This window comes from Homo sapiens, chromosome 7 (assembly GCF_000001405.40).
Source record: "Homo sapiens chromosome 7, GRCh38.p14 Primary Assembly".
Taxonomy (NCBI): Eukaryota; Metazoa; Chordata; class Mammalia; order Primates; family Hominidae; genus Homo; species Homo sapiens.
This window is the reverse complement of record NC_000007.14, coordinates 85,069,107-85,081,290: the sequence shown is the minus strand read 5'-3', so window position 1 is coordinate 85,081,290 and position 12,184 is coordinate 85,069,107. Positions and strand designations below refer to the sequence as shown.

General features: G+C 34.9%; 1 protein-coding gene across 7 annotated transcripts in view; it reads left to right on the top strand.

Moving 5' to 3' along the window:
• Positions 1-12,184, top strand: part of SEMA3D (semaphorin 3D) — a 254,691-nt gene that overhangs the window by 168,953 nt on the left and 73,554 nt on the right. For all 7 annotated transcript variants that reach the window (NM_001384901.1, NM_001384903.1, NM_001384902.1 and 4 more), the window contains one exon: positions 8,210-8,329. In NM_001384901.1, the coding sequence (NP_001371830.1) occupies positions 8,210-8,329 (120 nt within the window). The remainder of the gene's footprint in view (positions 1-8,209; positions 8,330-12,184) is intronic.

The window sequence follows — 12,184 nt, the reverse complement described above, 5'->3', positions numbered from 1 at the left end:
ATTAATTCTGAATATTATTTTTGTCACAAAAAAGATTAGAAACACATTAAAGTATTCAAAAATAAACCATCCAAAAGATTGTAGTTCTAGGAACATGTATTTTTCATTTATGCATACATGTTTTTGTAAGTGTACACAAAACCTTCAGTTATTTTAGCATCACAAACAGAATTGATACATAATTTCAACTGAGTTCAAATTAAACTTAAAATATCTATAAGAATTCCTTTATGTGGTGACATAATGGAAAGAACAATAAGAATTAGTTAATAATGAATGACAGCATTCTGGCGTAAGAACTAGTAACTACTTCCTCTGAAATTTATGTATTAGTAATAATGATTATATAAAATAACTCATAAAAGACAAATAGAGGGTACTAATGAAACTTTTAGTTTAAGCTGCCTTGAAGAGCAGAGAAAACACTTAGGTATGACTTTTTGTCTCTGGTATGGTCCTATCTGTCTTGATTTCTGCACTGTCCAAGTTGTCCTGCATGCTCCCTCTAATCATGTAACCTGATTTATCTCCAGCAATGAGGGCTATGGCTCTGACTGGCTCCTCTCCTCATCCGAGTGCTCTGATTCAGGACAGATATTCTGTCTTCTGTCCTGACTTCTTGCATTATGGTAATGGGGAGAATTGCTCCTTTTTTTGGCAAAATAAATCACATTCAAATTGTAACCCAAGATGAAAACAGGTTGTAACCTGGGGCAGAAACATAGACATCTTGAGGCTTCTTTTGCACCATCCTTTAATCGTACCTCTAACCACAATAATGCGGGGGTATTAAGCTCAGTTATGCCATCATATTTAATAATAACAAATAGTCTTTGTTATATGAAAGGATGAATAGATTAAAGAATCCTCTATCAATGTGATAGAAATAAAATATGACATATAATGCCTAAGGTTGTGAGGGGACGCTCAGAAGGCTAATAATCTCAGACAACAGGTTAGTTCACTCATTTGTTATTCATTTATTCAAAAAATATTTTTAGAGATCCTAAATATGTATATGAAACTCATCATATCTGTCCTTATGGAGCTTTCAATCTAATGGGGGATACAGATACTGCTCAAATGATGACTTCTACATAGTAAATACAAAGCAAAATAGTTGAAATGAAACAAAACAAACTTGTAGTGACCCCTGATTTTATATTCAGTTATTAACATAATTAAATGTCATCCTTTCAGGCATATTTATATTAGCGGAAATATATCAGGGAGTGTTAACATAAAATGCAGTGGGAAACAGTTTTTACATTTCGGTCACTAGAAATGAAAGGAATTAAACTATTCTGTAATGTATTCTTCTCCTCCCACGGCTTTGGTATCTTCATCCAGTTCAATAGTCCAACACCAAACAGGTACCAAGGTCTGCAAAAGCACCGATACTTTACTGAACACTCACAGAGAATGAAATGCTTTGGTTATGAGAGTTTTTCAAATTATGTCATTTAATGGACAGTATAAGCATGGCATAACCAGCATGAACATTTTTGTATTTGTGTTTCACCAGTATTGAGTATACGATAAGGAGGCAAGAAGGAAAAGGATGTTTTCAATTTACTCCAGTAAAATGGTTTTCCCATGGAGCAGATCAGGGATAAACAGTCAAGGTCAAACAATCAGTGAAGGTTTAAATTCTGACAGTGCTCTCACTTGGGTATGTTCACTAATTCCAGTTACATAGTAACTTAATTGCCCCTCTTATTAAGTTAAAGCAAATGGTGATAAACTTTTCTGGAGGTGATATCCTTGACCATGTAGGATTCTGTATATAGAACATATTATTCCAATTCAGTCATAATTGTGAGCTAGTAACCACCTCTAACCTTTAAACACATTTGCTGCTAACCCAGGATTAAATATATGAGGAGCTTTTTGCTTTTTGCTGAAGTCTGTAGTTTGATGTTGAATCATGTAGTGATAATTTTTAATTTTTGCCTCATTTTAACTTGTTCGTTTAAAATAATGTTTCATTTTAGAGCTTCTAATAATAGCTAACATTTTTGTAGCAGTTACCATGTTCAAGGAACTGTTTTCAATGATTTACATGTATAACCTCATTTAATCCTTATGACAACACTATATGCTAGATTTTATTATTATTTTCTATTTTCTGGATGAGAAAACTAAAGCAAAAAATCTTAAATGGCTTGCCCAATATCATGCATCTGGTAAATAGTAAAGCCGGGGATTGAATCCAAAAAGCTTGCTCCAAGGTCTGTGCTCTTACATAACATTATAAAATATCCATATAAGATCCAAAAACTATATCCTTCAAGTTATTTCTTTCTATAATATCACCAGAACATAGATCCTCATTTTTAACAGCATTACATAGATTTTGGCGGACAGAAAACTGAGACAGCTCTGTGGTTTTATTGACATCTTTTATTACGTTTGGCATTACCCTTTCTCCTTCTTCCTCTCTAGTAATTTTTACCTACTTCCCAAGAGTGTGTTTAGGATTAACAACTGTTTGGAAAGACTGTCCCTTTACACAAAGGTACTATGTAACTGCAAAACAGTGAATTATTTACCCTAATGAAAGTTAGCTAATTGGGGTGGGGATAGTAGAAGATGAGGAAACAAAAGGGAACTATTCCACTTTGTTGAACATAGTCCCCAGTTTAATCCAAAGAAGGGTAGAGATGACAGAAAGATATTTGGTAGTATTTTGCTTCTATTTAGAGGAAAGTTATTCAAAAGAAAGTAACTAAAGAAATGTCTTTAGTTCTGACTATATAATTGTGGGTTAAACAGCTTACTCCAAGCAAAAGAAACCACAGGGTGAGGGTAGCCTGGGCTCTGTTTGTCAGCTCAACCACAGAGGGGCACAGCCTGTCCACACAGACATTACACAAAGTTAAAGCGTCCTCCGGAACTTCAGTTTTTTTATTATATCCTTCCTTCCTTCCTTCCGTTCCCTTCCTTCTTTCCTTCCTTCCCTCCTTCCTTCTTTCCTTCCTTCCTCTCACTTTCTTTTTTTCTTCCTTTTTTTCTCTCAAGAAAGTCTAAAACTAAAATAGAATGTTCATTGTAGAAAGTTTGCAAATTATATACAAGCAAAAAAAGAAAAACAAGTCATTTATAAATACCTCTCCCCCATGAACACTAACCAGAGATAACTGGTGACATTTTGATGTTTATTTTTCTATCTTATCTATTTACTAATTTTCAGTATGAAATCATTGTATACATAGTCACTTAAAACACTTATTTTTTTTTACTTCACAGACTGCCATGAGCATTTTCCCATGTCATTAAATTCTTTAACACTACTTTTAATAGTTACACTGCATTTCTTTATGTATTATTTAATCAATCCCCTATTGTTAGAAGTTTGGTACATATCCAGTTTTACTATTGAAAATGACACTGTACATGAAAAAATTTTATGTAAATATTGTGAATATCTTTGATTATTGAGTAGACTTTTACTAGTTAAGGACATAAAAATTTTTATAAACATATTGCCAAATTGCCCTCCAGAAAGTTTATGCCTCATATGCTCTTACCAGCAGTATGTGATCAAGGGAGGGTGTATTTACCTATTATACCATTGTTAATATTGAATACAACATACATTTAATGCTTAATACAAATGCATATGAATGAATAAAATATGTATATTTATTCTTTGCCAATAAAAAGAAAATTATTTTTGCTGTTTTAGCTTGAAATTTTTTCATTACTCTCAACACTAAACATCTTATATGATTGCAAAATATAATTTTTAAATAGCATATCCCTGCGGCCCATATTTTTTTAATTTTCCTGTTTGCCTTTTTCGTGCTGATTATTTACAGACTTATAAAACATATATAATATATATACACACACACGTATAGGTAGACATATTTGTATAACATAAATATGTATAGAGTATACATACAGTATAATACCTTGTGTTCCACTCGTGAAAAACATATTCTTTATCACTTTATCAGTTACCTTATTTGATGTATACACTTTATTTAAATAGTCATTTCTATCTTTTTCTTTAAAATGTTTTCTTTTGCACTTTTACCGTAACTGATTATTGCTCTGTAGAAATCTTCACTGTTAGATCTCTCATTTTTAAGATATAAATGTGATATATGAGTTTTTCTATTTTTATTTTGAAGTATTAACAATCTATTAAAATATTTTAAAGTTTTTTTTTTTTTTTTTTAGACGGAGTCTCACTCTGTTGCCCAGGCTGGAGTGCAGTGGCGCAATCTCGGCTCACTGCAACCTCTGCTGCCCGGGTTCAAGCGATTCTCCTGCCTCAGCCTCCTGAGTAGCTGGGATTACAGGCAACTGCCACAGCGCCAGGCTATTTCTTTTTCTTTGTATTTTTGTATTTTTAGTAGAGAAAATTCACTATCTTGGCCAGGTTGGTCTTGAAATCCTGACCTCATGATCCACCCACCTCGGCCTCCCAAAGTGTTGGGATTACAGGCGTGAGCCACCGCGCACAGCCCTATTTTAAAGATTTTAAGACCTAAACTGATCTCTGCATCCTGGATCCTGTCCGAGAACTTCTAGACAAGCCTAACATGTAGCTCAGAGACAGAGATAGGTGAAAAGTCAAAAAATGTTTGATGATCACAATATTCTGCAACACACATTAAAAATAAAACCAGTTAAGATTCCAAAATCATTAGTATCTTCTAATATTTAACATAAATAAATTAAAATTAGCTACTGTAAGTCAGTTATCAGAATAGATATAAAGCTGTTTTGGATTTTATTGGACCCTACATATGTCTTGAGAATTACAAGTACTTCTATTTTGCTATTATCTTTCCAGGTATCTGGGGAGAAACTAAAATTCTAAGTGTTAATGCATAGACTAATATATTTTTGCTTTTTTTCTCTGCAAGTATGAATTCAGTTTTATACTTGTCTATTTAGTTATTTATATATGTATGAATATATATGAGAGATGAAATATTGAAACATCTAATATTACTTAAGATAATTAAAAAGTTGATATTTGCTTTGGTTCTTTCTCTCTTCTTCTCCCCCTCTTCCCTTTTTCTTTCTCTTCCAGTGGGGGTAGGGTAGGGCCTACGGAAAGCCATGTAGGTAGGAGGAATAAAGGAAGGAAGGAGAAATTCAATACTTGTCCTAAGTTGAATACATTACTCCCTGGATTGTTTGGTCACATGCAATGATCAACATTGTGGGCAATAGCTGACAAATTAGCTTTCAGGGAAAGTTACAAAGGCTGCTTCTCAAAGTTATCTTTCTTCGTGCCTCACAGAATTACACTACCACTGATAGCCTTGCAGGTCACTAAGTGAATTAAATCAAGTTAATTATTGATCATGCTATTTAAACAAATCTTTGAAACTTTGTGTGTAAGAATAAAACAACATAGGATTTCTGAGACTTAAAAAATGAAGTTATGAGTTGAAAGGGAAGTCATTGTAAAGTTTTTTTGCAACAAGTATTGTTTGGCTTAAATGTCAACCTCAGGTAAAATTTAAAGTGGGAGACCTTATCTTTTACGATCTCTGTTCACAGATTTCTTTTGCCCAGGCAGCCAAGGCCTTTCTATTGCCTCTAGGCTGCTTAGAGAACTATCCTCTCTCAAATTCCCTACAGAAAAATTTGACTGAGCACAACTGACATTTTTGTAAACTGTGTCAGATAATTCAAGATTCACACATACTTTTTTTTTATTCCATGTCAGCCCAATCAGACAGAAGGGAGGAATTTCATAAATTAATCTGAGGTATGCCTTGTCAAGTCAGGAAATTGGCATATTAGGCTACTTTCTAGGACTAGCACCATTTTAATAAAATACTCCTAGAAAAGTGAAAGGAAATAAAATAGGTGTGATTCAGAGGTTTTTTTTTTTTTTAATAATCACCAAAATTATATCCCCATTGTGTATAAAATGTTGCCCTGGACCATATTTGTCTTTATAAACAGTGCTGCATCACTGGTAGCTTCTAATCTGTTTGACTCCATAATTTAAAATCTGGAAAGGGAGTTATATTTCTTTATCCAAATATTTATTTCAGAATCTTGCAAAATTACTTTCTAAATTCTAACTGAGCTTTTGAAAAAATGGTGAACTAATTGGTGGTGAGTCAGTCCTCCCTCACTCCAGCCATATGATTTTACTCTTCCCTGCCCTGCATACTCTCCCCTATGTACGAATGTCTTTGTGCAGGAAAAACCAAGGAATAAAAATCTTTTCAAAAAGTGAGCATGAGTGCGCAAAGGCTGGATTATAAAACCTCCTACTCTAGCCATGAGGTCATCAATAAAATTTACCTGGTGATCATGTACATTTTCATACTTTTATCTTATCTTTTCTCATATTACTTTGTCTTAATTGTTTGTTCGAAACTATTAGTATCGGCCTGCCATGGTGGCTCATGCCTGTAATCCTAGCACTTTGGAAGGCCACGGAGAGAGGATTGCTTGAGGCCAGGAGTTCAAGACCAGACTAGGTAACAAAGCGAGACCCTGTCTCTACAAAAAAAACACGAAAATTACCCGGGAGTTGATGACTTGCACCTGTAGTTCCAGCTACTCAAGAGGCTGAGGCTAAAGAATTGCTTGGGCCTGGGAAGCGGAGGCTGCAGTGAGCCAAGATCGCACCACTACTCCAGCAGCCTGTCTCAAAGAAAAAAAAAAAATATATATATATATATGCCAGTTGAAACATTGTACCTCAGATCTTCAGATCTGTAGACATAGCTATTCACTTTAAAATCAAAGCAACCACTAGGATATTAGTATTTTGTATAGCTCAAAATCAGGGTAAGGAATAAACAAATATTAAATTTATATTATTTCACTTAATCTACATAACAGCCATAACAATCCTATCATTAAGTCATTGTCTGCCTTTTTAAAAAATTTTATTTCATTCTAAGAACCACCCTACCAGTTAGGTTATTGTCTATTGTTGGGTTTTTTATTTATTTGTTTGTTTTTTAATATATTCCTCCTAGGAACCCCAACAGCAACAGTGGACCATTAGGTCCATGCCTGACTGGTGAGTAACCTATGGCCACTTGGGCAGAAAGAAACTGGACTTTTTCTATGCAATCCAGTGGTTTCTCAGGTTACCAACTTCCTTAATAACCCAACACTTGCCTGTCTCCTGGGTAAAGCCAACCTAGAATAAAAGTCTGCTCCAGCCCAGTGTTTACTTAGGTGTCATTGGATCCAAGAATCATGAAGCCACGGTTAAGAAATTGCATGTAACATTTATGTAAAGATAGAGTATCACTTGCAGGAGATAGGTTGAAAATAATATACAATAACAAGAATAAATACTCTAAAAAGAGAGAGAGCCACTATTTACTGCTATCTGAAGCATATGAAATAATTAAGTTCTAAAGATAATGATGACATAAAGAAATATTTTTAGGCATAAGCATATGCAGAACAGAAAGAAACAAAAATTTCTTCAAAAATTTGACTTGGTGTAAAAAAAGTCCATGAGAAAAAACAGAGATTATGGAAATTATCAAGAAATAATCTGATTCTTAGAGGCTCTGTAACACTGGAAAATAAATGGCAATAAGTGGTAGGGCATCTGGTCAATAAGAATTGAATACATAGGTAGAGATGCACGTTTGTGTTCAGTGTTTTGTTCAGTGTAGCTGAGACAGATGACATTGCAAACAGTAGTAACTATATGGTATAAATTATGTGGTAACAACAGATCATGATAAATTCTGTGTTCTATGTATTTCTTGTAGAAAGTAAGGATACCAGGTGTGTGTGGTGGTGGGTGCTTGTAGTCCTAGCTACTCAGGAGGCTGAGTAAGGAGGATCTCTTGAGTCCAGGAGTTTGAGGCCAGTCTGGACAACATAGAGAGGTGTCATCTCTAAAAAAAAAAAGAGAAAATTTTAAATATGGACGTCTAATTCATATTCTGTTTATATCCGTTCTCTAGGGCTCACTGAGTACCACTATAGACTTGCATTCTAATTAACCTAATTCTGATTAGTTCAATGGTTTTATAACTTCAAAAATCTAAAAAGCTACTCCTTTATACCATGGTTTCTATATTTGTCTTGCCTCGTTTGCTACAACAGATGTCTAGAATTTCTCATAAATCTTTTTTCATTTGTGCTCTTATTTTTGAAGATTGATCTACTTGGAAAACAGGTGGCATAAATGATAATATTTCAAAAACCTGAATTGTGTGTTAATGCTTTTAATTTTTGTGCCCAACAGACAGAATGTGCAAATTTCATCAGAGTACTTCAGCCCTATAACAAAACTCACATATATGTGTGTGGAACTGGAGCATTTCATCCAATATGTGGGTATATTGATCTTGGAGTCTACAAGGAGGTAATATAATGAAAAAGCATGAAAAGCATAATTTATTGTAATACATTACTACTTAATTCCTATGACATAAAACAGGCAGATTTGAATATAAGGACTGAAACATATATGGCCAGGCATGGAGGTGCCTGCCTGTAATGCCAATACTCAGGAGGATGAAGTCAGAGGGTCCCTTGAGCCAAGGAATTCAAATCTATCCTAAGCAGCATAGTAAGATCCTGTTTTAAAACAAAACAAAACAAAAAATGAATAGTTTATGAACGATATAGTAACTCATGTTCCTAGCCATTCTATGGACTATCATTTTCACCATATACTTGATCTACCAAATAAAAATGTTTAAAAATGTTTTTTCTATTAAAAGTTGTTTTTAGCAGGATGATCAAAATTAATAGTGTAAAATGTTAAAAGTGTTTGTTTTCTATGGGCTCCATGTATGTCTTTATATTCTCTTGACTTTCCTTTTTAACTAGATATACATAGTATGTTGCTATTGGTAAAAATTCATTTTCCATAAGATCTTGCAGTGGAATTGCATTATATAAATAATTTCATTTTCCTATCTAATAAAGTTGACCTGTTATGTATAATAGTGGACACTAAGTAAAGAATATTTTAATAATTTTCTTAAAAGTGTATAGTCATTGGCACAATGACTTTATTGTTTCAGCTGGACCAAATTGGCATAATGGAAATAAAGGATGTATTAATTAGGAGTCATGTATTCCAGATCTCAATGAGTGCTTTAATAAGTGAAAAACATGCATATTTTTGCAATTAAATTATTTACCAGTACTTTAGTTTACTGTCCTTGTGTTATGGACTTCATGCCATCCACTTCACATGGATTATTGCTTTGGAATTTCACAACACTCTTAATAAAGCCAGTGTCATTATAATTACCAATTTACAGGTTAGTAAAAATTAAGTCTCAATGGAATAAATTACATGCTACATCACCCAACTAATAAATGGTCTTGCAACAAATTGAATCAAGGCAGTCTATCTCTAGAGCAAGCATGAGCAACTGAGCTTTAGGACAAGTGCCCCCAGTTGTTTCTTGGTGATGTGCAATGTCATCCTCATGTTTATGTAAGTACAGTCATGTGCATCATAACAAGGTTTCCATCAACAATAGGCTGCATACAATATGGTAGCTCCATGAGATTACATTACCCTATTTCTACTGTATCTTTTCTATGTTTGCATATATTTAGATACACAAATGCTTACCATTGTCTTATAGTTGCCTGTAGTATTCAACGGTAACAAGCTGTACATGTTTGTAATCTAGGAGCAATAGGCTATGCCATATACCCTAGGTGTGCAGTAGGTTATACCATCTAGGTTTGTGTAAGTGCACTCTGTGATGTTCACACAATGATGACATTGCATAATGATGTACTTCTCAGAACATACCCTGTCTTTAAGTGATGCATGACTGTACTTTTTGTGAGTAACCACACATATTTGCAGGATAATTCGCTGTGTTTTTGAAAGTAAAGTCTGGGCTTATGGAAAAGGTTTCTTTACATTGACTTAGCTGATTCACACAGAGATCAAACCCACAACTATGGATGGATGGATTTTCCTTTCTAACCAACTTGTCTAACCAGCCCAGACTCAACTGTTTCAAAATAAAGCAACCCTGACAGTTAAATTTCTGAGCCACTAGGAGACTTGGTAACTTGAATCCATCATTCTTTGTTGGTGGTGTAATGTTCTCTTGTCTAACTCTGATGAAGGGTAATATATAACATTAGCTCATAGCATAGGGTGTAATTATCTGATATAGCCCCACAGTTTGAGTGTGTTTTGAGGCCTAAGGATAAAGGCCAAACTCGCAACCTGCTGAGGGGGGCAAATAGTGTTTTATAGCTCCTTAAAAGTCACAAGTGCTGGCCGGACGCAGTGGCTCACACTTTGGGAGGCTGAGGTGGGCAGATCACCAGAGCTCAGCAGTTCCAAACCAGCCTTGCCAACATGGTGAAACCCCGTCTTTTCTAATAATACAAATGTAGCCGAGCGTGGTGGCATGCGCCTGTAATCCCAGCTACTCTGAAGGCTGAGGCAAGAAAATTGTTTGAACTCGGGAGGCGGAGGTTGCAGTGAGCCAAGCTTGTGCCACTGCACTCCAGCCTGGGCGACAGAGCAAGACTGTCTCCAAACAACAACAAAAAAAAGTCACAAGTGCTGAAAGGGAATTTAGATTTAGATGGAGCTAATTAGCAACTTGGGACTGTCAAGAAGCCCTGGGGCAGTCAAATTTACAAGTTCCATGAATAAGAGAATTATGGGTAAACAGGGGCATTGAACCTTGAGTTTTTAGCTGGTCTGGCGTACAGGTAATTGTATGGCAGCCCTGCTTGAAAATTGTTAACTTTTTTAATGAATCATTAGTCCCAAGAAATCATTGTACTTCTAGAGGGAGTTTAGAAGGACCTTCCATTTTCAAATAAATAAGGCTCCTCCTAAGGTGGCTGGGAAGAGGGAATAGCAATACACAAAAGGAGCGGAAAAAGGTATACTTCAGGGACTGCTATGCAGTGTGGCTGGGGCAATGGGAAGAAACAGGGAAAGCTAAGATGAATCCCAGATTCCTGACTTTGCCAGTGAGTTGAAGAGTGGTGTTATTTATTGAGGTGAGAGTAGTAGCAAGTTTGAGGGAAATATGGTGAGTTAGTTTTGCACATTCTGCATTTGTGGCATGTTCAGTAGGTCATGCCAAGTGGGCAACTGGAGCTGGAATTTAGGAAGGAAGTCAGTGCTGCTGTCAACAACTTCTAATAGTAAGTTGAGGACAGATGGCCATAGTTTGAAATATGGTTCCAGTCATTTACTAACTCCATGGCTGTATGCATACTGTATAAACTTTCTATGCTTCTGCTTATTCAGTAAAATAATGATAATAGTAACTATTTCACAGAGTTATTTTGAGAATAAAATGAGAAAATGATTGTATACTATTTGGCATAGCACTTGCTTCATTCTAGTCACTTAACATTCATCCATTTCTAGATAACAGAAACACAGAAAGGTAAAGAGGCATGGATGTACACAATATGTATATTTTACATATTTCTATAAAATAATATTTGTATCCCACAGTGCTGGGAAAACTTGAAAGCTGTTTAATGCTTGGCTTGGTATCATTTCCTCTGGGACCTCCCCTGTGCTGCTGCAGATCGTATCTTTAAATAGGCGTGATATTAACAATAATGTTGCTGAGTTGTGATAAATAAATGTTTTCTTACTAGCATTCCTACCTACTTGTATCATCTTTACTTCTCTGCCCATATTTCCATCTGTGTAGCTCAGACAGGTGCTTTTTGCATAATTAATCAAGAATAAGGAACTTCATAGAAGCAATCTTATAAAGTTGAAGTCTCAAAATACAGAGCACCATTAATTCAGTCAGTTTATTTCAGGAAGCACATGGAATCATCCATTATTTTTTATATTATTTTCTTGTATGAGTCCTTGACTGGCTCAAGGAAACTTGCTTTCTTGTTATCTCCTATTTCCAGTAGATTATAAAGGTACCATTATTATTTGTATTAAAGTGTGTTTACTTAAAATTATGAACCATAAATTTTTAACCAGGCTATTTAAATTGCTATTAGTGTTTAGTATTTTTTTAAATGAGGCAATAGTTACTATTGGTCTTGTTCAAAAGAAAAACAAAGATCTGAAGTGCAACATAACACATAATTTTCTCTGTCCCTTTTGCTTTATTGCTTGTGTTCTACATAAGTTGCACTGAATGGTCCTTTTTTATTACATGTGTGTTCTGATATAACTTCATAGATACATCACCTAGACAGAATGTCTGAAGTGCAGGATTTCTCTAACTAGTGC